Source organism: Homo sapiens, chromosome 18 (genome assembly GCF_000001405.40).
Source record: "Homo sapiens chromosome 18, GRCh38.p14 Primary Assembly".
Taxonomy (NCBI): Eukaryota; Metazoa; Chordata; class Mammalia; order Primates; family Hominidae; genus Homo; species Homo sapiens.
The window spans coordinates 44,959,548-44,986,854 of record NC_000018.10 but is presented as its reverse complement, the minus strand read 5'-3'; the positions used below and the strand labels follow the sequence as shown (position 1 = coordinate 44,986,854).

At 41.5% G+C, this 27,307-nt stretch overlaps 1 protein-coding gene and 1 non-coding gene across 19 annotated transcripts in view; one reads left to right on the top strand and one right to left on the bottom strand.

The window, feature by feature from the left end:
• The window catches only part of SETBP1 (SET binding protein 1), a 388,438-nt gene that overhangs the window by 81,656 nt on the left and 279,475 nt on the right, over nt 1–27,307 (bottom strand). The window contains exon 6 of one of the 18 annotated variants that reach the window (XM_024451158.2): nt 279–27,307. The exons of the other annotated variants lie outside the window; for them this stretch is intronic. Within the exon in view, the coding sequence (XP_024306926.1) occupies nt 27,117–27,307 (191 nt within the window). The 3' untranslated portion in view covers nt 279–27,116. Of the gene's footprint in view, nt 1–278 lie in introns of those variants that run through there. 18 annotated transcript variants of the gene reach the window in all.
• Nucleotides 16,689–16,773, top strand: MIR4319 (microRNA 4319). The gene has a single exon (NR_036203.1). It is a non-coding gene; the product is annotated as a microRNA 4319 (primary transcript).

Below are 27,307 nucleotides of genomic sequence, written 5' to 3'. Positions count from 1 at the left end.
AAGTTAACAGCCTCAGGCAGGTCCTTTAGGAGGCATTCCAGAATAAGCAAGGCATTGTTATTATAGGAGATGACAGTACCATACGTGTTATTGCCCCTGAAGACCTTCCAGTGGGACAAGCTATGGAGGTGGAAGTTGGTGATATTTATGATCTTGATGCTATGTAGGCCTAGGTGAATGTATCTGTTTGTGCCTCAGTTTTTAACCAAAAAGTTTAAAAGTAAAAAAAAAAAAAATCAAAATAAGAAAAGGCTTATAGAATAAGAATATAAGAAATATTTTGCACAACTGTAGAATGTGTTTTAATATAAGTATTACAAAAGTGAAAAAGTTAAAAACAACTTAACCTTATAAAGTAAAAAGTCACAGTAAGCCACATTTCATTTATTAATGAAGAAAGAAATTTTTTTATACATTTAGTGTAGAGCATTTATAAAATCTATAATAGTATATGGTAATGTCCTAGGCCTTCACAATCACTCACCACTCACTCACTGACTCACTCAGAGCAACTTCCAGTCCTATAATCTCCGTTCACAATAAGTGCGCTAGAGAGGCATACCATTATTTATCCTTGACACCGTATTTTTGCTGTACCTTTTCTATGTTTAGATACTCAAATGCTTACCATTGTGTTACAGTTATCTACAGTATTCAGTACTCTAACATGCTGGGCAGGTTTGTATCCTAGGAGCAAAAGGCTACACCATATAGCTTAGGTGTGTAGCAGGCTATCCTATCGAGGTTTGACTAAGTACACCATGATGTTCGCACTGGGATGGAGAGGTCTGGTTACGCACACCAGAAGAAGCAACATCATTTTGTAGTTGTTCCTTAGCTACTCTCTGCCATAATGTATATTTTTCTAACTCACTTTAAAACTAAAAATCTATAAATTGGTTGCTCTTTCCCTCTGGGAACAAGACTCTAGTGGAGTATTGAGTACTCTGGTTCTTGGCTCCAAATATTGTTTCTAAATCAAAAAGTCTTACATTAGCTTCCCCTGCAGGATCTCTGTGCCCTTCATTGTAAATCTGTGAGGAAATCATGGTACTTTTGGCAATGTAGCTGGCTAAAGGTTGAACAGTGAAAATGAACAATGGAGAATTCATAGCCCTAAAAGCAGATTACAAGTAATCCTGCAGATACTAAATGGTGGATTACAGAGTGATTACTGACAAATTGATAGACTGGTACCTAGACACTGTAAAAACTAAACAGTTGTACTGTAGATTTAAGTTAAGAACATTTAAAAGAAGAAAAAGAATCATTACTCAAGTAACTGTGCCCTTGCGTGAGATTCATATGAAATAAATAAGACTGTGCTCCTTGGTTGATTCCACAGCTTAAAATACTTCAACATTAATAAGTGTATTAAGCCCAAGCCAGAATTATTATTACTATTATATTATCACATGTACAGTTGTCTGGGCCACTTAAGACAGAGACAGAGGAATAGCATAGCTCCAGAGAAATAAAATCTGAACAAAACTAGACTCTGAACAAGTTACAAGTTATCTGAAAATGGAAACAATAGTACCTACTGCTTAGCTCTGAGGCACTGCCCATTTCTGGCAAATTAAGCAAGTAAACTTTTTTTTTTAAGACTTTCTTGTCAATTTTAGCATCTCAGAACCCCTACCCACATTTGTAACCTGAAAGCACATGTAGACAGATCTCTTACACCTCATTCAGTGTTTAAACATTTTATGTTCAAAAGGCGACAGTCTCTGTCGCCCAGTCTGGAGTGCAATGGCATGATCTCCGCTCACTGCAACCTCCGCCTCCTGGGTTCAAGTGATTCTCCTGCTTCAGCCTCCCGAGTAGCTGGGATTATAGGCGCACGCCACCACGACTGGCTAGTTTTTGTATTTTTAGTGGAGATAGGGTTTCACCATGTTGGCCGGGCTGGTCTCGAACTCCTGACCTCAGGTGATCTGCCCGCCTTGGCCTCCCAAAGTGCTGAGATTACAGATGTGAACCACTGCGTCCGGCCTAAGCATGTAAACTTTGAATTATGTAAACTTAAAATTCGTGCCTTCTCTGCAAATTAAGCATGTAAACTTTAAATCACTGCAAGGTACATTAGCAATGATAATAATTAGTAACATGATAACCAACCAACTCATAGTGCCTCTTACATGTCAGGCAACATGACAGAAAAATGCTTTAGAGGTGTGACCTCATTTAATCCACACCACATCCTGATGACATATAATAATAATGCCAACATCACTTCATCATTGTACATCATTCTGTAGTTATAGCATATATGGCAGGGGTCCCCAAACCCAAGGCCATGGACTGGTATGCTGTTAGGACCTGGGCTGGACAGCAAGAGTTAAGCGGCAGGTGCAGGAGGAGTGAGCATTACCGCCTGAGCTCCGCCTCCTGTCAGATCAACAGCAGCATTAGATTCTCATAGGAGCCTGAACCCTATTGTGAACTGCCCATGTGAGGGATCTAGCTTGCATATTCCTAATCAGAATCTAATGTCTGATGATCTGAGGTGGAACAGTTTCTTCCTGAAATTATCCTCCCTTCTCCGCACCCCACTCCCCTGCCCTGCCTGTCTGTGAAGAAATTGTCTTCCACAAAACCAGTCCCTAGCACTAAAAAAGTTGAGGACCACTGATACATGGTTTTTGTTTTTGTTTTTCCCAAGACGGAGTCTTGCTCTGTCTCCCAGGCTAGAGTGCAACCTCAGCTCACTGCAACCTCTGCCTCCCAGGTGCAAGCAATTCTCCTGCCTCAGCCTCCTGACTAGCTGGGATTACAGGCTCATGCAACCACGCCCGGCTAATTTTTGTATTTTTAGTAGAGACGGGGTTTCACCATGTTAGCCGGGGTGGTCTCGAACTCCTGACCTGTGATCCACCTGCCTCAGCCTCCCAAAGTGCTGGGATTACAGGCATGAGCCACTGCACCTGGCCTATATGGTATTTTGATTCTGTACCTTTTCTAAGATGGCCAGGTCAGGAACAACAATCTTTTGACAAATGCAAAATTGAAGTTGAGAAAAGGTGAGTCACTTGTTCAATGACAGACAGCAAACAGATATTTAGTCTCTGGGTTCTTCCCAAAGTTCCATACCATCACAGACCAAAGGAATGGAGTGGCAAGCAGGGGGTTATTTAACCAGGTGATGGGCTCATGGCTGTTGCCAAGCCTAGAAGAAAGCACTCAGCTGGCATGAGCTGATTACCATTTCTGGTGTTACTCAGCAAGAAAAATAAGGCCTGCTGCTGCAGCAGGAGGGACTGAAAATGAGACTTGAAAATCTGCTCCTACAAGAAGGGCAATGGGACAGTGGTTAGGAGTATGGGCTCTGGAATTGGGCTTGGGGCAAATCTTGGCTCTACTCCATGTGGGCTCTATGACCTTGGAAATCTACTTCTTCACTCCATGCCTCATGTCCCTGATTTGTATAATGGGGGTAAGAGTGTCCCTAGTTCTTAGAGCTGGTTGGTGGAAAAATAAAGTTATGCATACGAAACACTTAGAATAGCACCTAACATTTCACAAGCCCTCAAATTAATTATTATTGGAATGAACTTGACCATAACAGAAAATGCATCTGAAGGAGGCTACGTGTACCTGTTTTTCCCCAATCACGTTTTGATACGCACAAAATCTGTCTGCTTGAAGAAATGCCTCCAACTCTATGATTCTATAAACTAAAATGCTTCTGTTCATGTTCTCTCTCCTCTCATTTTTCAATGTTCATAATCATGATTTACTCAATTGGCCTGGCTTCCACTGAATAAGTTACCTACAAGGCCTGGTGGTCTGGAGGTTGAGGGTCCACAGGAAATATTAGACAGGGGTTTTCGGTGACTTCTCAGGGGGCCCACATACCATAATTGCAGTTATAGTCAGGGCTGAAGTTAAGCATCCCATGACCTTGTAAAGTCCCTTAATTGTTCTAGGCCTTGGTGTCACCATCTATAAAATCAGCATAGAAACACGGCTGCCCTCAGGCCAGGGACTGGGTTTAGCAGAGCAAACTAGTACTGAAACCCATGACTCCTCACTAAAGCTTGGAGTGTCCCCCATGATGTCATACTCACTTCCAAGCCTTTAAATGTAGAAGTCAAAAAGGGTTTTAAGATTAGCCTTCATAAACCAGCAGAAATTATATGACCCACTGGGAACAGAAATAAAATAAGAGGAAGCATCATATATTCTGCTGCAGAAGAAATACATAAATGATAGAGCTTTCAGTCTCTATATTTATCTATGTTGATGACTACTTCGCTTATCACTCACTAAATCTGTTATTTTACTTGTATGGATAAACTCAAAAAGCTATGCTCTTGCTTGATTGAATATGCTTTTCAACAACTCATGACAAACTCAGAAGAGGAGGGAAAAAAATGCAAGTCGAACCAGAGCCATAAATTTAAAAAGAGTTTAGGCAGGGAATACCCTAAATGATATAATAATCACAGAATCATCCAAATTAGATGTGGAAGCATGGAGCTCTGGCTCTGGCCCCCTGAGGCGACTGCTCCAGGAAGCCAAGGTGTGTGGATCTTCCAGCCGGCGGCCCCTGCCTCCCCAGCCCGGCACTCTGCCATATGCTTGCTTCCCAGGCTTTTTGCTTGTGCGCATTTCAATGATGCTACCATTTTCCTCACCCAATTTGTATATTTTACACCTGTATAGGATAATGTTATTGGAAGTGTCATTTATTCCAGAGCTGTGAAACCACAAATGGTGACTTACTCTACAGCAACTTCAGTTCACACAATCAAGCAATTGAGAGGCTTTTACTACCTTCAACTCCACCCCACCTTCCCCAAACTTTCGCTTTATGGGGTGTTTTTTTATGCTTCCTACAATAAGCTTGCTCTGAATATAAATGCACATTTCCAATGTATATGGCACTTTTGAACAGCGTGAATAGAAAATCTTGGAAAGATGCTACAGTGAAGCAACTGCAAACGTTAATACCCTGTTGTTTTTACTGCTAATTAGAAACAAAACACAAGTTCGACCTTATTGTAGGCTAATCAGCTATTAAAACTAAGGGCTTCTTAAAAAAAATCAAATCTGGTTGCCTTCTTTAGACATACGAAAAAGCGGGGGAAAAAGAAGCAACCAAAAGGGGGCACATGCTTTAAAATTCTTCCCTTATTCTTCTCTATGCCGATGTAGATTCACTGAGTGGTTCTGATGTAAAAGGTAAATGTGGGCAAGGCAGCCAGTAGTCTCAGGGCAAAGATGTGGCTGCCATAATAACCCCTGGATGCTCTTCTCTTGCAAAGTCCTGTTATTGTCAGAAAGATGAATTCTAAAACAACTCTATATTGTGCAATCTGCAGATTTTATTGACAAAGGTGTCAAGTCCCACAGAACTGAAAGTTGTTTCCCTTGTCATGAAATAAATAAGCAGGTTTGCTGGTGCTTCCAGCTTTATTCAGTTTGCTTAGATACAAGGTGACTGTAAGCATTGATTCCGTGTAAGACTGGATATAGATTTTTTAAGGGAGGTACATGTTCTGGGAGTTAGAGTCACCTCCTGAAGCCAACTGGCTCTGTAGCTTGGCTCAGGGATCCAAGGAGAGACAGAAAGAAACTGCTGGAACCTGAGAGATTACGGTGAGAGTCGGGGCAAGTGAGCTGGCTGCAGTTTTGGGCCTCTGCCTCAGGGATTCACAGGATGTTACGGCTGGAATTGAGGGCCTTGAAGATCACGCAGAATTATGTTTCTCAAACTTAAGGGTGCATCGGTTTTTAATAGATTATTGTTCTCCTGCTTCAGAGGTTCTCATTTAATAGGTCTGAGATAAGGCCTGAGAATTTGCATTTCAAACAAGTTCTCAAATGAGGCAGATGCTATTGGTCTGGGGACCACTTTAACTTTGGGAACCACTGATTTAATGCAATTCTTTCTTTTTACAGATGCATAAACTGAGGCCCAGGCAGAAGTACTGATCTGCGAAGGCCAAAACCAACAGCCTGTCCATGAGAGCTAGGTCTAGAAGACCCATATTTCTTGCTTTCAAACCTGGGCTCCTACTGCTTCCCTAGGACCATGCTTTGCAACCTCTTACCCTGCTACACATGACCATAACCTTAACCTAGAGCTGTGGAAACTGTTTCTGAAACTGGCAGCAGGGATGGGCTCTTGTCTTCCTGCTGGAGGCCTGCACCTTCTGTGCCTTCAGTGAAGGTGAGCAGCCCCAGTGCTTGAGAAAAAGGAAAAAGCCTTTCAAGGCTCCTCAACCTCCCTGCCTCTCCCTCCTCTGACAAAGTTTCCGTTTGTAAGAGACGGGAGAGGCACGGGAGGTCGGGGCTATTCAGAACTGAACTTGGTTGTATTATAAAGTAATGAGTTTCTAGAGACTAGATTTTTTTTTTTTTTAAAGCAGAAGAATGTGCGAATCAGAGAAACTACTTGGGGCTGGATGACCTCTAAGCTTTCCTCTAACTTTGAGATTCTACGATCTATGAAATTGGCTCTTATAATACATATTGTAGTAAAATTTCCTCATTTCCAACCCTACTAAACCATGGTTTGTGACAAGACGCAAGTTGTAATCAAATAATGCTGAGCCCTAAAAACAGTTTACTGTGCAAACTAGCTATTTCTAGTCTTATTTCAGCAATCAATTTATAAAATACATGTCCTGACACCACTATCAAAATATTCCCAGCTCACCCAATCACTCTACATCTTCTCAATCTGCTTCATTCTATACTCAGTACTTATCAATATCTGAGATCATATTATAGGCTCCTGGCTTTGCTTATTGTCCGGTTCCACAGAAACAAGAATAGAGAACAAAGCATCACTTCTCGTGGTCACTGCTCTAACCACGACATTCAGACAGTCTGGGCACACAGTGACACTGGATCAACATTTGCTGAGTTGACTCCAAAATTTCCATACCTCCAAATTTACATCCACATGGGTTTTCAAACACATGAACTTAGTTATTAAGAAGGAACTGCTTTTTGTAAATGTATTAAATGAGGAACATGAATGAAGAACCAAGACAGTCACATGTTTCTGCTCTGTGAGCCAATATGTGCAATAGATGGTGTTAAGAAAAAATAAGGAATATTCAATTGCATAGAGTGAGTTTTCTTGAGCCTTGACCATATTTCGTTTCTCTGAGAGCCTCCATATGTAAGAGTTATTTGTGATTTTTATATCAGTGTGGACCATTGGTTAGCACTTAGTTCTGGAATACTTTCTTCTCAAATTCTTAAATCAAAATGACCAGCTCAATCAATGACTCAAAATTTCAGATTCATTCAACACACAAATACATTACCCCTGTATCCCAGTAGAATCATACAGCTTTGTGATCACTTTCATGAGCCAAGCTTTACTAAATTATCTTTGAACTTATGGAGGATAATACTATACAGAAAATTTCATTGACTACTATTTTATTTCAAGATTGTGGATTGAGCATCGAACTGAACGAAATGTTATATGGATACAGCCAGTAGTACACTGAATTTCATTACAGTAAGGCAGCTCCTTTGAAATTATCCTAGAACAAAGGGCCAGGCAAATATGAAAGGCTTAGGGGCAAAGTTAAAACAGACTGCTTCCAGGAATACAGTTTTAAAGCACAAAACTTTTAAACATACTGGAGTTGACCTCTCAGATTGCAAAGGGAAGCAAATGCAGATTCGGTGGGTTGGGCCCCTAATGGCCAAAAAGCCCGTAGAAGTCCTCTCATGGTGTTGTGGTAGCAGTCACCAGACAGGAGAGGAAAAGCCTCCCTGGGCTCTCAGAGGTCTCCTACTCAACCTCTGTAAAATAAGTGAGTTGTTTAAATCAGCAGCTTGGTAGAGGAGAAAAAGCACCAACTCTGAAGTCAGCCAGATTTGAGTTCGAATTCTGGGTCAGCCCCTTGTGAGACACATGATTTTAGACAATTTATTCAATTCTTGAGGCTCAATATCCTCATCTTAAAATTGGGATAATTGTGTCTGCACAATCTTTAAGACATCCGGGATCATTAAATATTTTTTTTCAATGTAAAATGGCATCACGTCCTGTAGCTTTTAAAACTGAGCCAATAGCTCCAACTCACTGCAGGCCATCATGGGCAGCCACCCCATGTCTGCAGTGCAGGAAACAGAACAGGGCTTGGGAAACATACATCTCTATGTCCATCTATAAAAGACTCACTATGGTTGGTGTTGCTGACTTTGTTAAGAATGACAGTAATGCAAGCTTCCATTTTGACATTCAGTAAGAGCCCTCATTTGAAATATTGTCTTCTCATCTGTTAAATCTGTTAAATGGAGCTAATCACATTTAACCCAGTCCACCTTGGGCAGAGGCAGATATCATAAGAATCATGGCAGATAAAGCAGGTGAGTATAAGTTAATACCAGGTAGTATAATACTATCAGGATTAGATTCCTATTGCTCACTCATTTGGGCTTCAGTTTATTTGGGCTTTGTGATTAATATCACTACAAGATATCATGTAAAATGTTATGGTTTCCCCCTGCACGGGCAGACAACTTATCCCTGGGCCCAGCTTCCAGTTTCTCTCCTTGATCACTCTGCAGTCGGAATAAAAAAAAGAAAATGGCAGGAAATAAATGTGGTGAGGGGCATCTTAGAAATCGGGGCCTGTGATGGTGAACTCTGTATTGACGCTCTTAAAATATGGGCCTGTCCTAGTGTTTTATGTCATCAATTGTGACTGTCAGTCTCCTTTGCAAGCTGAGGAATAATGGAGCTATGTTTTTTCCTTGCTCTTCCCAACCTAATGTTGGCCTGTGGGCTGGTTGCAACCCTGGCTGGCTGAGGTGGGAGGATGGATCTGTTTTCGGAATATGGGAAGTTTTATGATGCTGTGTAGTTATCTCAGATTCAAGAATAGAAAGAGCACAGGCCCCAGAGCTGAAAAATGCACCATGCCGCTGAACTTTCTGATAGATGAAAACTGTTGGGGAAGTTGGGAAAGATTTTACTAATTCACCAGCTCTCCTTATATCAGTAGCAAGCAAAGATCAGTCACTCCTGAATAGATATAAGGGGGAGATGAAAAGGCTGGAGGGCAAAGTGAAAGGTGTTCTCTCCTCTCAGGTGGGTCAGACTCTGGGCAGCAACTGCAGAAACACCCATGTTTATCGGCCACATTGGCCTCTGTGAATTGAGCCTGTCATCCCTAAAATCTGTCCCAGGCTATGGGATTATTCTGGGAAACAAGATTGTAACTTCTACCAAGGAAACATAAGAAGCACAGCGATCTACTAATAAATCAGAAGACAATTAAGGTTAGAAAGTCAATGTTCAGGCAACACTGAGTTCTGAATTAAACCAACATATCAGGGTAATTCCAAGTCTAGTGCCTGGAAGGCAGCATTTTATTCACAATCCAATTCATCCATCAAAAAGCATTTCCCCACTCGTGGTCCCTCATTCTACAGAATGATTTGGGACATTTGCCAGCCACATCCAGCTTTTCTGGCGGGTGCTCCTTCTTGATTGTACATTGGCCAGGGTTTATAACCAAAGTTAGATCAGGCTTATCTGCCCTCTCTCCCTTCTTTGCTCCTTTTTTCCCCCTTTCCCTAGAATATATCAGTTGTCCACACATACCTTCCGCATTTCTTTTTTGATATCTATCCAGAGTAGACCACAGCATGCCCAAAAGACATTTCCATGAGCTCTATCTGGGATCAGAAAGAACACATCTGGTGAGTACAGAAGGAAACCTTTTCAATGCCATGGGGGTTGGCCCCACAGTGAAGGTTAAGGACCATTTCAGGGCTGGAGATGGAGGAATCCTCAGAGGTAGTAAGAGTTGCCATATATTGATGATTTATTACAGGTTAGAAACTCAATATGTTCTTTACATATATCAACTCTTTCAATCCTGACAAGAAGTCCCAGAATAGACACAATTTTCCCCCATTTTAGAGATACAGAAACTGAAGCGTATAGTTCTTAAATTATGACTCTATGACTTACCAACAATAATAAAATATAAATACATGAATACTTTTTGAGCACTTCCTATATGCCAGGCTATGTTCTCAGCATCTTCTATGAAGTCACTCCTTTAATTCTCAGAACACATCTATGCCTCTCTGTATAATTAATCACATATTACAGACAAAAGGGCTGGGGCACAGAGAAGTAAATAACTCACCCATATCATCCAGCTAGTGAGTGACAGAGCTGGGATCCAAGTCTGGGAATTTGGAAGCCTGTGACTCTAATAGCTACTAACTATAACCATGATCATTTATTTCCCTCCTTGCCCTGAGCAGTATCTTTGCCCTGAGGACATGTACCTGGGTCACCATTCTAAGGCCCCAAACACGGGATGGCTCAGTCATGTGCTTCTGAGTTCTGGTGCCCAGACTAGGCACAGCAGGGCGGATGAGGGCCAGTTTACTTCCCAGCAGCCTGCCTTTCCTGAGTTTACACCAGACCATGCAAATCTTTTTTAATACTGGCTTTTTCTTTGTGGTTTATTTATTTACTCACTCAGGTTCATTTGCTTTGGAGCTTCTTGAATGTCAGAGCTTCATATCTCAAATGCGAGCCAAGCTTTGGCCTTTGCAACAGCCCAGGGTTAATACGGACTGTAAACAAGGAGCCTCCAAAACCCACGGCGGCTCTCCTCTGCTGTTCCTCAGCACCTGCCGCCTGCTTCCTGCTCCAGCACATTTCCTGGGCCTTGTGCAAAAGGGGACTTAATACTGTTGAGAAGCTCTGGTGTCTATGTGCATAGGAGTATGAGTCTGTGTGTGTGTGTGTGTGTGTGTGTGTGTGTGTGTGTGTGTGTATCCCTCCCCAAAAGCTCGACTTACTAAACACTGAATATACATGCACAGTCTGCTGAAGGTGGCAGTAGGTATTTTGAGAAATAATTCCTTAAGGTAGACAGAAAGTAGAAAGAGCCCCAGGCTTGCAGACCTGTATTCTGGTCCAGGCTTGGCCACTACTGCTTCATGTCAGCAAGGACACTTAACCCTCTGAGCTTTGATTTTGGCATTTTTAATTTTAGGGGATTAAATTAGCTTAGTATTTCCCAAACCATCTTCTGCAGAATGTTAGTATTCTTTGATAGCTTAATGGGTGGATTTGGAGAAACAAGAGTTGTGCAGTCAGATAAATTGGGAAAAGATGACTTTTCCTTTATAGATAGATCCATATCACTCCTCATTATGTTGAAAGCTATGCGAAGTTATGTAGTAATCATATATTTTTGCTTATTCGAGTATTTAATATTCTGATAATCAAACTCTTTTTTTTCACAGAACACCTAACAATGCTTCTTGGGGTGCTGGATAATGCTGAATTAGTTTTAGGATATCAAGCTGTCCCAGGTACAGTATCTTCACTTTGTTCACTGAGTTCACTTACATTGAGTTCACTGAGTATCGAACCTCAGTAATTCAATGCTTACTACACTTATTAAATGATGGAATTGCTAACGTGAGAAAAACTATAACTGGCATTAAAAGTGAATTTCTTTTAGTGTAGGGCAATTAATTGACAAGACTGTAGAATTGAAGCCTAAATTCCATCTCTATGTAAGTAGTGAATGGTCAATGGTCAATGAATGTTCCCCACAAGTAAGACTGTTAACAGTGCCCTGCGTCTAGTAGAACTGCAGATGCAGACAGGGTTTATTATACCCTATTCACAGGTTCTTAATCATAAATTTCTTTCTCAGTGCAGAAAGACTCTTAAGGCCAGAGAAGTGCGAACATTAAAACGGAAGAGGGCCTCTCTTCTTGGATCCGAAAATTTCTAATCATATCTTTGTACCCCTTACTGATCTTTACACACCTTGTGTGGCATTGATAAGAGGGCCACGTGTATAGAAGTTAATAAAGAGGTGTTGGTCAAATCAGATTTCAAAAAGTGCCTTTGTGAGGTCTACATGTTCACAAAGGGCAAAAGAACAATAACCTAGTGTTTAAAAAGAATCACTCACAGGCCAATTTAGTAAAAATGTATCCTATTTTTACTTAGGTGTCTTTGTTTTGTTGCTTTCCCTTTTCTCAATGTAGCATATTTTATACATAAATGGAAAGTGAAATTCATACAGTGACTGTGTTTTCTAGGTAAAACTGGTCTGCTTTTGACTCGTCTTGCTCTTAATATCATGAGAGTTTGGGATGTTCTTATTTTGTTTTAAAAAGATGTACTGCCTTTCTCCTCTTTTAAATATATACAAATATATATTTGCGGTTTGTTTGGGTTTTGTGTTACCAGGCTTTGGTAAATCTAGTCACCCACCTGTGCACATGAGTCCACATCAGTCATTTGGGGAGGTCTACTGGATCTGAAGCAGGGAGCCTCTCTGGCTTTTAGTTTAGAACCTCAAATCCTTTTATGCAGTGAAAACACCATAGCAGGTGAGGGTGAATAATCCTAGACTCCTCCCTCCAACTCCCTCCTCTTTGCCTTTCTGCAGTCCTGCAGTCTCTATCCTCAGCTACTCTCATCTCCCTCCCCTCCTTGCCAAACTTACTTAGCTACCTTGGTTTTGAGCTTCGGAATCTCTCGCCTGGATTATTGTAGTTGCTTCCCAGGTGGTCTTCCTGCTTCCCTCTTCCCTCTGAGATATATTCTTTATTCTTCTGGTAGAGCCATGGTTCTAAAGCAATGCCACTTAAATGTGGCCCATGACCAGGGCCCATACACAGGCTGTTATTGGCCTATGATAATTATGGAAATTGAGTGGAAACATTTGGAAACTTTCATAACAATGTGATCAAATAATTTTATATTCATACAATCTAATCATAAGCAAATTTGAATTGTATTTTGTAAGCCACTGCACTTTATTTTTACTTCATTTTTAAAAATTTTCCTTTTAATTAAATTTTACATAGGTATTGACCAGCAATGAATTAGGGAATGGAAGAAGAAGAACAATAACAAAATGGTTCTGGACTACAGTCTGACAAGCCCTGTCCTAAGGCACGACTCAGAGAATATTAACCCCTACTCCCCCCTCTGCCAGCTTAAAACCTTTGTGTGGTATCCGAAAATGCAGTCTTAACAGTACCAACTCCTCTGTGTGGCGTGTCTGCCCCTCCTCTGTCTGCCTCTCCACTTACCGCGGCTATCCCTGCACATCATGCCCCATGAGGCAGCCCTACCAGCATTTTCTTGCCTCTTTCAGAGCTGTTTGCCTCAGGGTTCCTGTCTTTCTTCTCACTGCTGCTCTGCCTTTATCAGCTCTTTTTCTATGTCTAGCCATCGGGCCCTCAAAACTTAATGAAATGCTGCCTTTTCTAGCCGTCCAGGAAGCATTGATGACTCTATCCATTTGCCCCCAATGGCCCCACACTGTCTCAGCATCAAAGACATCACAGTGCCCTTCTCTGTTTCTAAGAGCATCTCTCTCACTTGGAATGGCAGCCTCCAGAGGGCAGCAACTGCATCCTTTGGGTCTCCATATATTAGATTCCTTGACACAAAATAAGTAGCTGCTTAATACACATTTGTTTGAGGCTAGCATTATCCTGATACCAAAGCCTGGCAGAAGCACAACAAAAAAAAGAGAATTTTAGATGAATATCCCTGATGAACATTGATACAAAAATCCTCAATAAAATATTGGCAAACCGAATCCAGCAGCACATCAAAAAGCTTATCCACCATGATCAAGTGGGCTTCATCCTTGGGATGCAAGGCTGGTTCAACATATGCAAATCAATAAACATAATCCAGCATATAAAGAGAACCAACGACAAAAACCAGATGATTATCTCAATAGATGCAGAAAAGGCCTTTGACAAAATTCAACTACCCTTTATGCTAAAAACTCTCAATAAATTAGGTATTGATGGGACGGATCTCAAAATAATGACAGCTATCTATGACAAACCCACAGCCAATATCATACTCAATAGGCAAAAACTGGAAGCATTCCCTTTGAAAACTGGCACAAGACAGGGATGCCCTCTCTCACCACTCCTATTCAACACAGTGTTGGAAGTTCTGGCCAGGGCAATCAGTCAGGAAAAGGAAATAAAGGGTATTCAACTAGGAAAAGAGGAAGTCAAATTGTCCCTGTCTGCAGATGACATGTTTGTATATGTAGAAAACCCCATCATCTCAGCCCAAAATCTCCTTAAGCTGATAGGCAACTTCAGCAAAGTCTCTGGATACAAAATCGATGTGAAAAAATCACAAGCATTCTTAAACACCAATAACAGACAAACAGAGAGCCAAATCATGAGTGAACTCCCATTCACAATTGCTTCAAGGAGAATAAAATACCTAGGAATCCAACTTACAAGGGATGTGAAGGATCTCTTCAGGGAGAACTACAAACCACTGCTCAATGAAATAAAAGAGGATACAAACAAATAGAAGAACATTCCATGCTCATGGGTAGGAAGAATCAATATCTTGAAAATGGCCATACTGCCCGAGGTAATTTCTAGATTCAATGCCATCCTCCTCAAGCTACCAATGACTTTCTTGACAGAATTGGAAAAAACTACTTTAAAGTTCATATGCAACCAAAAAAGAGCCCGCATCGCCAAGTCAATCCTAAGCCAAAAGAACAAAGCTGGAGGCATCACACTACCTGACTTCAAACTATACTGCAAGGCTACAGTAACCAAAACAGCATGGGACTGGTACCAAAACAGAGATATAGACCAATGGAACAGGACAGAGCCCTCAGAAATAATGCCACATATCTACAACTATCTGATCTTTGACAAACCTGACAAAAATAAGAAATGGGGAAAGGATTCCCTATTTAATAAATGGTGCTGGGAAAACTGGCTAGCCATATGTAGAAAGCTGAAACTGGATCCCTTCCTTACACCTTATACAAAAATTAATTCAAGATGCATAAAGACTTAAATGTTAGACCTAAAACCATAAAAACCCTAGAAGAAAACCTAGGCAATACCATTCAGGACATAGGCACGGGCAAGGACTTCATGTCTAAAACACCAAAAGCAATGGCAACAAAAGCCAAAATTGACAAATGGGATCTAATTAAACTAAAGAGCTTCTGCACAGCAAAAGAAACTACCATCAGAGTGAACAGGCAACCTACAGAATGGGAGAAAATTTTTGCAATCTACTCATCTGACAAAGGGCTAATAGCCAGAATCTACAATGAACTCAAACAAATTTACAAGGAAAAAACAAACAACCCCATCAAAAAGTGGGCAAAGGATATGAACAGACACTTCTCAAAAGAAGATATTTATGCAGCCAAAAGACATGTGAAAAAATGCTCGTCATCACTGGTCATCAGAGAAATGCAAATCAAAACCACAGTGAGATACCATCTCACACCAGTTAGAATGGCGATCATTAAAAAGTCAGGAAACAACAGTTGCTGGAGAGGATGTGGAGAAATAGGAACACTTTTACACTGTTGGTGGGAGTGTAAACTAGTTCAACCATTGTGGAAGTCGGTGTGGCGATTCCTCAGGGATCTAGAACTAGAAATACCATTTGACCCAGCCATCCCATTTCTGGGTATATACCCAAAGGATTATAAAACATGCTGCTATAAAGACACATGCACACATATGTTTACTGTGGCACTAGTCACAATAGCAAAGACTTGGAACCAACCCAAATGTCCAACAATGATAGACTGGATTAAGAAAATGTGGCACATATACACCATGGAATACTATGCAGCCATAAAAAATGATGAGTTCGTGTCCTTTGTAGGGACATGGATGAAGCTGGAAACCATCATTCTGAGCAAACTATCACAAGGACAAAAAACCAAACACCGCATGTTCTCACTCATAGGTGGGAATTGAACAATGAGAATACATGGACACTGGAAGGGGAACATCACACACTGGGGCCTGTTGTGGGGTGGGGGAAGGGGAGAGGGGGGAGGCATAGCATTAGGAGATATACCTAATGTTAAATGAAGAGTTAATGGGTTGCAGCACACCAACATGGCACATGTATACATATGTAACAAACCTGCACGTTGTGCACATGTACCCTAATACTTAAAGTATAATTAAAAAAAAAAAGAAAAGAAAACAAGCCCAGCCGGGTGCGGTCGCTCAGGCCTGTAATCCCAGCACTTTGGGAGGCCGAGGCAGGTGGATCACTTGAGTTCAGGAGTTCGAGACCAGCCTGACCAACATGGTGAAACCCTGTCTCTACTAAAAATACAAAATTAGCTGGGTGTGGTGGCACGTGCCTGTAATCCCAGCTACTTGGAAGGCTGAGGCAGGAGAATCGTTTGAACCCAGGAAGTGGAGGTTGCAGTAAGCCGAGATCGCCCCATTTCACTGCAGCCTGGGGAACAAGAGCAACACTCTGTTCCAAAAAAAAAAGGCCTGTGCATTTGTAATTATACCAACAGTGATGTATTCTATTGAAAACCAACTAGAATCGTTGTAAACAAAATATGAAATAAAGGTTGGTATACTATAGGTGTTCAATACATTAATAATAATCATTAATAACCACTAACATTTATGGTATATTTTCTATGAGTCAGGCATTCTGCTACATATAGGTACATATGCTACAACTTTATAAGCAGACACACCCCGTGAGTTACTAACTACTATTATCTCTATTTTGGATTTGCAAACACAGGCAGAGGTTGTTTAAATCACTTGCACAAGGCTGCCTGGCTGGATCTCTTTGGTCAGTCTCTTTCTTTTCCCATTTCCTTTCGGTGATAACTCACTGTACTAAGTCAGAGCCCATCATCACCTTTTTGGCTTGAGTCCCTGAGCAAAGCCACTGGGAATGCTCCCTGAGGACGTTATATGAGTGCTCAGCTCATGGGGCTATGATGGTCAAAGGAGAAAATGCACATGAATGTATTTTGAAAAATATGTCACTATCACGGAGCAGCCAAAATAACCAGATAAGGAGAATTAGGATTCTTTGACTCAAGGGCAGCAATAGGTTCAGGACATCTGCTTGCCTATGTGACCTCAAGTGGACATTATTTGGGGTTTTTCCAGGTGCACCTACACCTAAGGCCACACTGCTCTGCCTGCTGCAACAAAGTTTAAGGGGAGTGTTGTGTAGGTGGAATGAGGAGGTCAGCTATACACAGAAGAGGAGGCAGTGCAAGAAGCGGTAGAGTTTGATCTTCAGAATCATTTCACTTTCCAAACAATCAGGAGGATGTTGTGAGGGGTTGGGTAAAACTTCCTCTAGGCACAGAGCTATTAAATCACAGCTTCCTGGAGTTGGTACTTGGTGTAGGAGGGACAGATGGGGTTTCACAAATAAAGTCAAACCTAGAACCTAGCCATGGAAGTGCGCCTGCTTTTCTTGGGGCTGTTTCTCTAGCATGCCCTCAGCAGAATCAACATGAAAGGTCCCAACCTAAAGTCCCTCCTTTATTTGCATAAGAATATCTCTAAATGCTGAGATTTATAACTTCACAGGAAAGGCTTGGGAAGGAGGGAAAAGCTTAAAAGAACATTCTGTGTAGAGTTATGATGCTGCCAACAGTTCGTGGGTTGGACAGGGCACTGCGTTCCTAAAGATTAGACATAACTGAGGGCTTTTTCTTCTTTTTTAATAACAAGGAAATACAAATCCTCCCCTCTTGTCAGACTCTCAATTCTTCAGACGTTTTGTATCATTTTCCCCATTCAAGAGTAGCATTGAACTGAAGGGAAATTAGAAAAACTGCAGCTTTCTTCCCCCGCCTTGAAACCAAAGGAATGTAAAGATATCGAGTTTAGCTTTCTAATTACATTTCTGAGACTTCTATTTTTTAATGAGAGAAAGAATTTCAGTGGATATGAGGAGAAAGCACATGTTTTTGTGATTACTAGAATTTTGGTGGTTGGTATTTTATGAAAATGCCACAGAGCTGTAGCAGGAGGTATAGTAAGCATTCAGAGTGAACTCCCACCCCTGACTCCCACCAAAAAGAAATGTCAGCAAGAAATCCGAGCAAAGGAGTTATTTTACTTTTCACATGGAATAGAACAGAGATTCTGAACTGTGAAAAGAAATTAACAGTGAGAAATGTTTTGATTTTACACATGTTCCAAACCACCTCCTCCTAGCATGCAGGCTATTCCTGGATGACAAACAGGTTTTGGTTGCTGGTGTGTCTTGCTAGTGCACTCTCAAGGAGCAAGTCATTGCAACTCAATCATTCAGGCAGGGATTTGAGAAAAACTCACTGTTGCCTACTTGGGAAGAAAGAATTTATGAAGCCATTGAGACATACAACAAAATTGAAAGATGGTCTGGAACTACTTAAACCATCAAGGTAAGTAACAGTATGGCCATACTAATCAGCATAAGACACAGTGATCACTATGCCATTCCTTTGCTCCTAGTGGTCTCCTCTTGCTGGCAGCGCCCTCTCAAGGCCTACTACTTGGCAGTCCAGGCTGTCTGATAAGGCCATGCTTTACTTAGCTGGCTTCCCCCCAGGTCGTCCACATAGATGAATTTACCACTGAAGTACAGCAGATCATGCCCACTATCCAGCTTCCCTTTCCCAAAACTTATCACATTGAACCATTTAATTATTATATTTGCTTTTTCTTCTTCTTGTACATCTACTAATAGACTATAAAATCCATGAGTACAGGAGCCCTATCTTTTATCTTTCTTGTTCATTCTTGTATTCCCAGGAATTGTGTGTGTGTGTGTATGATGAATGAATAAGTGCAATATTTTCTCAAAGAACACTATACATATATATTCATATTTTCCCTCAATGGTTCCTCTTTATTCCCAGTGTACCTAAATCCAACCAATTCTTTAGGACCAGGTATGGTACCATCTCCTTCATGGAGCATTCCATATGCTAGTCTAAAAATGAACTGTCCTTCTTTACCATCCTGCTGAGCAATTTGCAGTTCTAGAATTAATGTTTTTTTTCCACTGCATTTTCAAACTTATCCACAAGGTAGACCTCCATCTACCAGATCACAAGGAGAAATATACAAAGAACACAGGTACTTAGTCATGAGGCAAAATGCTAGGATCTTCCTCTCTGCAAGGTGTTCTGAGAGAGAGAAATGGCATGTGCAAAGCCAGAAGGTGTGGGAGAATGTGGTACTTGCATTCAGAGAAGAGCAAGAAGTTCCCAGGGGCTGTGGTGTGGTGGGGGAGGAATGTCTAAGACTCATAGTGATTTGACTCTGTTGCTGGACGGGCCACATGGAAAAAATTAGAAGTAATGTGGGCAGCCCCTAGAAGCAAAGGCCAGCAAAAGGCCTCAGACCTAAAACCACAGGGAACTGAGTGGATCAACAATTAGATTGACCTCTGAGGTGGATCCTTCTCCAGGGCCCCTAGTGAGGAACACAACCCTGACCACACCTGATTTCAGCTCCGTAAGACCTTAAACAGAGTACTCACCTGTGCCCACTTGACTTCTGACATAAGAAGTGGTGAAATAACACGTTTGCATTGTTTTAAACTGCTAAATCTGTGGTTTGTTACAACAATGATAGAGTACCAATCCACATTTCATTATTTTTCTTATCACTGCATTTTTATGGCTGGGGTTAGCAGATACATTGGTCTACAAAACAAGTGCTACTGAATAGTCATACACATTCTTGCCGTGACAGTCCCGATGCCAAGGGATGGTGATGACTGCCCTTTCCAGAGAATTCCCAAGTTCTACGGATAATGCCTACTCAGTGAGCTTTCCGTTATCTTTGGGTGAAATGTGTATTTTGTTACTTATCCACCATAACGGTATAATCCTGACACCTTATCTTCATCATGAACTACAACTGTGGTCCAGCTAATTTCTGCCTTTCCCTGTGTGATTCAGAGTTGGATTTAACTTCATCCCAGTAAGAGTGTAATTGGGCAGGAAAGCCTGCTGTTTAAAGAAGACTTCTATACCAATCTGTTGTTTTGTATTTTCTGTTTGAATATATTATCTAAAGTGGAAGTGAAAGGAAATGAACATTATTGACAACTATATGGTAAGTGGTGTGCTGGATGCTCCTGTGTATATTTTACCCTTCTTTGGCTCTCATAAAACTCTGTGTGGTGGGTATTAACAGCTTCATTTTTCGGGCTAGGAAAGGGACATCTAAGAGCCTAAGTTGCCCAAGGTTGCACTACGAGCAAGTGGGATATTTAGCATCCAAATCTAGATCTGAGTCTTTAACTCCTGGGCTTTCTTTGCTCTACTAAGCTGCGTTAGAAATTGTTCAATTTATTCTTAAGTTAGTGCTTCTTAAAGCATAAGTCAGGAAATGATGGTGGTCTGCAAGGATCAACAGTCAGTTGGTCAGTAATATCTGTGCTCAGCACCATCCTAAGGATCGTATAAGCTATGAAAAGGGTATGACATGACTGCGATTCTCCTACAACTCAAATTTGATTTGGGTGAATAAGACATCCCTACCTAATATAAAGGTAAACAATATAAGGCCATATAAAAATAAGCACTGAAATGAAAGTGAAAATATTAGTTACATCAGAGAAGCAGGGGATGCCAGAATGGGTAAGAAAATTAGTAGGTGAGATTTGCAAGCCAGATGGAAAAGGAGAGGAAGTTTTACATGAAGAAGCCGTGTGGTGATTGCACACTCAGGTAAGGGGCTCACTATGACATTTTCTATAGGATAAGGAGGAGATTTAGCAGGACTCATAGTGAGGAAATACTTGAAGATGATCAGGAAACAAGGTGAGACCAGCAAGAGTGGATAATGGAGGGTCTTTTAAGCCAGATAGTTTTAGACTTAATGCAATAGGAATTGCTATTTCTGCATCTGACATCAATTATTCATTTACTTATGGCTGCCTTCATAGGCGTTCCATGAAAAAATATTACATTCTTCTTTTTCTGTTCCAATAATTAATGTATTTATTTAGTTAGAGCTGTAAGGAGAGACAGATGCAATCGAGCTTTGTTTGATTATTGCCCAAAGGATCACTGAAATGAAAAATGAAGCACAGAGTCACTGCTCTGGACCAAGAAGTTGCAACCCTGGCATGGCGGAAGGTAAGCTCATGTGAATGAAGTGTTTCTGGGGTCCCAGGGACACTGTAGGTGGAGCTGACATTCCAAGCTGGGGACTCCAGGGAGCCACTGTTAGAGATCTCATCACCAGGGAAGACATTCAGAAACAGAATTCTCCTCTATAAGACAGATACTGCAGTACACTTACCTCTATCACAGTTGAAATTCAAAAATAATGGAGGAAGACTGAAAGAAAAAAGCTATTTCAGCGATGTGAGCAAACTCTCTGTGATGCTTGCATTGTCCATGGAGATTTAAGAAATCTCCTGGAAAATTTTGTTTTCTCCTTTGCCTGATCCTTTGTGCAAAAGTTTAACTTGGAGGATATATAGATGTGGACTTACTGGTTGAGGAGCAATGGAAGAAAAAACAAACAGGGGAGATGCTTTTTGAAATGGAAACTATTGGCTTTATGATTTTATCTTAGGAATTTCCATAGATATACTAGGATATTTATATAATAAGCAAGCATAAGGAATTCTCTGGTGATAAGCCTAAAATTAATAGCAAGTGCCTTCTCTCTAAATGCTCTTGGTATGAGTGATGGCAACACTGACCAATGAGAGTATCCATAACTTGATTTGTTCTGAGTGATCTGTGTGTGTGTGTGTGTGTGTGTGTGTGTTTGTGTGCATGTGTCTGTCTCTGTCTGTTGTATGTGTGCGAAGTGAGAGTGGTAATTGTAAAAGAAACTGGCTGATTACATTTTACATTGCTGAGGTGAAGTTGGAATTTCAAACTTTGAAAAATTTATTGCCTTCCCCCTTGTCCAATTCTGATCTGAGAAGAAACATTCAACATTCAGTGATATTCAAGAAAGATATTTGGCAATTGTCTTCAGCCCTAATTTGTCTCCTTCTCAGTTAATGTCCTGAGACTTGAAATCTGGTGGAGATTTTAGTTAAATAGCACAATCTAGAAATCTGTATGATTTTCACGCCCAATTCCTCCTGCATTTATTTTTAAAATGTATCCCCGTTTGGATAATGACACAACATGCAGAAGGAAAGGTTATCACGAGCAAATCTGGGAAAACACTTAAGAGAAAACTGAAAAGACCTGGCAACCATAGTGGTAGTGGAGAAAAGAGGAGGCAAAGGACAGGGTGTGGCCTGGGGGGAGCATGAGTTGGTTTTCCTAAGTTAGGCTGGAGAAACGGCAGATTGGAACAGGAAGCCAGGTGAGTGCTTACCATCAGCTGGGGACCTGTGCATTTACATTATCATGGTGGCTATTTCTGGGCAGTGGGATTGTAGGTGACTTTAGTTTTTTTCTGAATTTTTCAAATTTTCTTTATTAACAGGGTTTTTTTTTTTTTAAGATAATAAAAACGTTTTCAAATAATTCCATGTTATAGGTTTATAGATGGGGAATCCATTTTTATTGTCCTTGCCATTGGGACCTCAAATAGAAAAACAGTATTTAGCACTAAAAAGGTGAATTATTTAGTGGTGGATATACTGACACAGACTTGTAGGACTATGACACATGTACTAAAGGATGACAAGGTGTCCCTTACATATTTAGAGCTGCCCAGGCTGGTTTCAAACTCCTGTTGCCCAGGCTGGTTTTGAACTCCTGGGGCCAGTTTGGTCTCCCAAAGTGCTGGGATTACAGGTGTGAGCCACTTTGCCCAGGACTATGTTTTACAAATATTAGGCACTCAATAATTTTAAAACTGTGATTAGAATAAAGTAAAAATATAACAGCACAAAGAAGCATATAAGAGAAACCTTTTTTGCCTATTGGTCTTACTTGCAATATAAGACGTGACAGATAGGCTTCAGATAGGCTTTGAACCACAGTTTCTCCAGCCTACATCCCAGTTCCTTGTGGACATTCAAACTGAGATGAGGTATCCACTCTAACAACTTCCCAAACTTCTGAAGTGTAGCCCAAACTCATGGATCTCTCTTTTGTTTTTTTTTCATGGATCTCTTAATGACTTGCTGCTCCATTCCGGTTTTACTTTTAGTATATATAACCCTTTTTTTTTTTTTTTTTTTTTTTGAGATGGGGTCTTGCTCTGTTACCCAGGCTGGAGTTCAGTGTCATGTAGTGGCACAATCGTGGTTTCCTGCAGCCTTGAACTCCTGGGCTCAAGCAGTCGTCCCACCTCAGCCTCCCAAGTAGCTGGGACTACAGGTGTGCACCACCACACCAGGCTAATTTTTGTATATTTTTATAGAGACGGGGTCTCCCTAAGTTGCCCAGGCTGGTTTTGAACTCCTGGGCCCAGGCAATTCGCCTGCTTTGGTCTCCCAAAGTGCTGGGATTACAGGTGTGAGCCACTGTGCCCAGTCAGCACGTAGCATTTTTAAAATGCAAGTTTTTGAATGTTTACCAGTAGGTGGGTAAAGCCCCTTAAATTGTAATTAAAAAAAACAAAGATTTAAATGTTAGTTTTAGTGTTTTGTAATTTAGCAAATAAGAATATTCTTGTGCACCACTTGTGTCTTCCTTGTGATTTTCAGGACATTCACGCTCCATTCAAGTTCTCTTTCCCCAGGTGAGCTAAAGGCTTTGCGCACAGAATTGACATTAGACCCTGGGCTTGGCTAACCCCAGTTCCAAAGAGCTCCCTTTGTATGTAAAATATCCTATTTTTAGCAAAGACTAAATTGCCTATTAGTTAGTGCCTTATTCTGGGCTCCTCTATTTAACCCACTGGCAAGAGTTCTTTAGGGATAACTTGGAAGGTAAGTCATGCTACTGGCCTGATCAAATACTTAAGAAATATAGTGGGAAAAATGGCAGTGGGGGTTGGGAGGATGCTAGGAAAATTCCAGGATACTTGGGATCTAGCACTTTTTCTGAACAAAAAATGGCTTGGTCACGTTGGGTTTTGATTTCCTTGGCTGTCGAGTGGAAAAGCAACACCTATCTGCAGACCCCACTGGATTTTGAAGATCAAATGAAAGTAAGGAAGTACGCTTTGAAAAGCATAACACCCTGTTCAGATGTATGGGATGACTGTGATGTAGCCTCAGGGAAAGCTTTTTATCTCTGGGTCCTCAGATCCTCCATCAACAAGGTGAGCCCCATCTTCTTATTGACTCACTGCCCAACTTTCTCCCCAGCCCCCGCACTGAAGATCATGGAAACCACAGCAGAGGCAGCTCTTGGGACTTGCCTGCTCTACTCTGTTGACCTCACTTAATGCCTCCTTCTTCTTATCCAGCTTGTTCTGAATCTCTCTGTAACAGGACAGATACCAGTATCAACTTGCATTTACAACATGCAGCTTATTTCACTGATAGTTAGTTTTGGGGTTTCTTTTTTTGTAGAATGGGTTTTGATTTCTAGTCATTAAGTGCATAACTCCCATTATTCTCGCTGATTGCTTTGTGTACATGTCTATATCCATCTCTTGTCTCCTGATGGCTGTATAAGGTCATTGAGGACAGGCATGTTTCTTGGTACTTCATCATTCCACTCAGCACCTAGCACCAAGCTCAAAACATCTCACACTCAGCACCCCTGAGCATCAATTGTATCTTCCCTTCCTCTGGGAGGCAGTTCAATCCCCTCTTCACGGTAGCTGTGCCTCTTAAAAATCCATCCCCACTCAACTGCTAACTTCCATCTAGCCAAGTGCCTTCCTGTACCCCTCAAATATCTTCACTCATGCTGCTGGAGCACTCACTGTGAACCTACTCTCCAAGCTTCTGCCGCAAGACTTTGTCTTTCACTGAACACTGTTATCCTTCCTGATCCTGGGTCCCCGCAGCTCCCATTGTTGGCCAATGAGTTAGCATGGATTAAACTTGGTCTGCATTTATTCTCTGGTTGTTTTACGAATGCTAACTTAGTCTCTTTCTTGATTTTTCTTTCCTTCTGGTCTCCCTAATTGTCCCTGGCACTATGCTATATGCTGGGTGACCAAAGACCTCTCAATCATTTTTAAGAGTGCAAGTTTTTATGTACCAGCATGTATATTTTATTCCACAATAGTAAAAAGCTCTGTAAGACTGACAGTTAGGCTTTCATCTATAATCCTTTGTACATGGCTCAGTAACAGAACCATTTATTCGAACTTGTGATAACTTGTTCATTCTTCCATACATTCACAGATGCACAGCAAACACCCAAGGTACCACAGAAAGGAATTTTCAAATAGTCATCATATGATCAAAAGCTATGTGCCTGTGTGTCTGTGAGGCAGGGAAGGGGGAGCTGACCTGAAATCTCTTACCTCTTTTCAAATACTATAACCTTTACCTTTTCTACACATGGCCTTTTTGGCCTTATACTATGACATGTGGAATGACATAGTATAAGGGAATCTGGCATTGTGTTTCTGCTCCTAGAATTGGAGAAACTTAGACTTAAGGCCTATTGAGAATGGAAGTATCACTTCTCATCAAGGGCTGACTTCACAAACGTAGTCTTCTTAGAAGCTGGGGCACTGCTAGAACCACAGCAATGTTTTCATTTTCTGCACCTGCAGCCCCCATTCTCTCATCATCCACTTATTCATTAACTCCTTGCCATTCAGCCTAGGCACACAGTCCACGAGGCTCCAAACATATGAGACATCAAATACATAATGTTTAACATTTCTGTTGTCTTCAGGGTCACCAATATGTTCATGCATATTTTCATTTGTTTTCATCCTCCATAAACTCTGCATCTTCTGGCTCTGCTGATCACTTCTTTCTTCTTAAATTCATTCTCCAGCATTTCTGGCATTCCTTCTCTGCATCCTTCCTGGTCCCTGCTTCCTCTGCCTCTGTGTTTAAGGTGGGTTGCCAGGTCATCTCTTCCACCCTCCTTCCTTCATTCCCTCTGACTCTCTCCTTGCTGAATCTCTAGGTCTAGCTCTGCACAGCACTGGCAACTGCTGCCTAAGCCCCTCATCATTCTGGACACCAGCTGGGTTTCCGCTCTGATTTCTAGGATTCTGTTCATGTACTCCCACCCTCTCAGTGCCTGGAGGCAATACATTGGAATCACCTTTGACTTTAGCTAGAGAGGGAAAGAGATGAAATCAAGGATGGCTCTTTTTAAATATATTTTTTGCTTGAGCATTTGTGTAACTAATGATGCCTTTATGATTAGTTATAATCCGGGGGTGGAGGGTGGAGGAGGAAGGGCAGGTGGGTACAACCTAAACAAGTAAGTGAATAATTACAACACAGCATGAAGAGTACAGAGATGAGGTAAGTTTGCCCAATTGAGGTTAGGGAAAGGGAGTGGTCAGGGAAGAAAGATAAAGTATAATCTGGTCATTTTATGGCTTTCACTTGTTTAAAAAGTAGCTTCTGGCCAGGCACACTGGCTCACAGCTATAATTCCAGCGCTTTGGGAGGTGGAGGAGGGAGGATCACTTGAGCCCAAGAGTTCAAGACCAGTCTGGGGAACAGAGCGAGACCCTGTCTCTACAAAATTAAAAATTAAAACAAAAATTAACAGGGTATGGTGGCATACACCTGTAGTCCTAGCTACTTGGGGGCCTGAGGTGGGAGGATTGCTTGAGCCCAGAAGTTGGAGGTTTTAGTGAGCTAGGATCCTGGGTGACAGATATTCTGTCTCTAAAAATAAAATGGAACACAATAAAATAAAAAGTGGCTTGCCACTGCTCGCTTGATTAAGCACAAGCCTCGGAGTACGGGAAAAAGACCCTCTAGCCCCTGACCACAATATTCTTTCCTCACTTTATCTGCCAATGTTCCCCAACTACAGATCCAAACCCCAATAAAACGGCACTATGGGCTGGTCACGGTGGCTCATGCCTGTAATGCCAGCATTTTAGGTGGCCGAGGCGGGAGGATCACTTGAGGTCAGGAGTTCAAGACAAGCCCGGCCAACATGGTGAGACCCTGTCTCTACTAAAAATACAAAAATTAGCTGGGCTTGCACCTAGTCCTAGTTACTTGGGAGGCTGAGACAAGAGAATGAACCCAGGAGGTGAAGGTGGCAGTGAGGTGAGATCGTACCACTGCAGTCTAGCCTGGGTGATGGAGTAAGACTGTCTCAAAAACAGAAACAAAAAAACTGCACTATGCATGCTTTCCCAAATATTTCTTGGGTGTTTCCACTTACATACCTTTGTTTGCATGGCTCCTGTTCTAGGTCATGCTTCCTACCCCATCTCTCATGACCACCCTTACCATCTCCACTCTCCCAAAGTGTCTTGTATCATTCAAGACCCATCTTACATGGTGACTGCTATGAAGAGTATTTCCAGGTCCCACCTCTCCTCCCCCACTGAGAACACAGCAGTGGCTCACAAGTCACTTGGACAGCCCTTGCTCTTTCTCTGTGGCTTTCTGATGGCTCTTGCAGTTGGCTTTGTAACATGAGGAGCTGCTTGCTGGTTTCTTCCCCTAAATTATAGAGGTCCTCCTGGATTGTAGTCT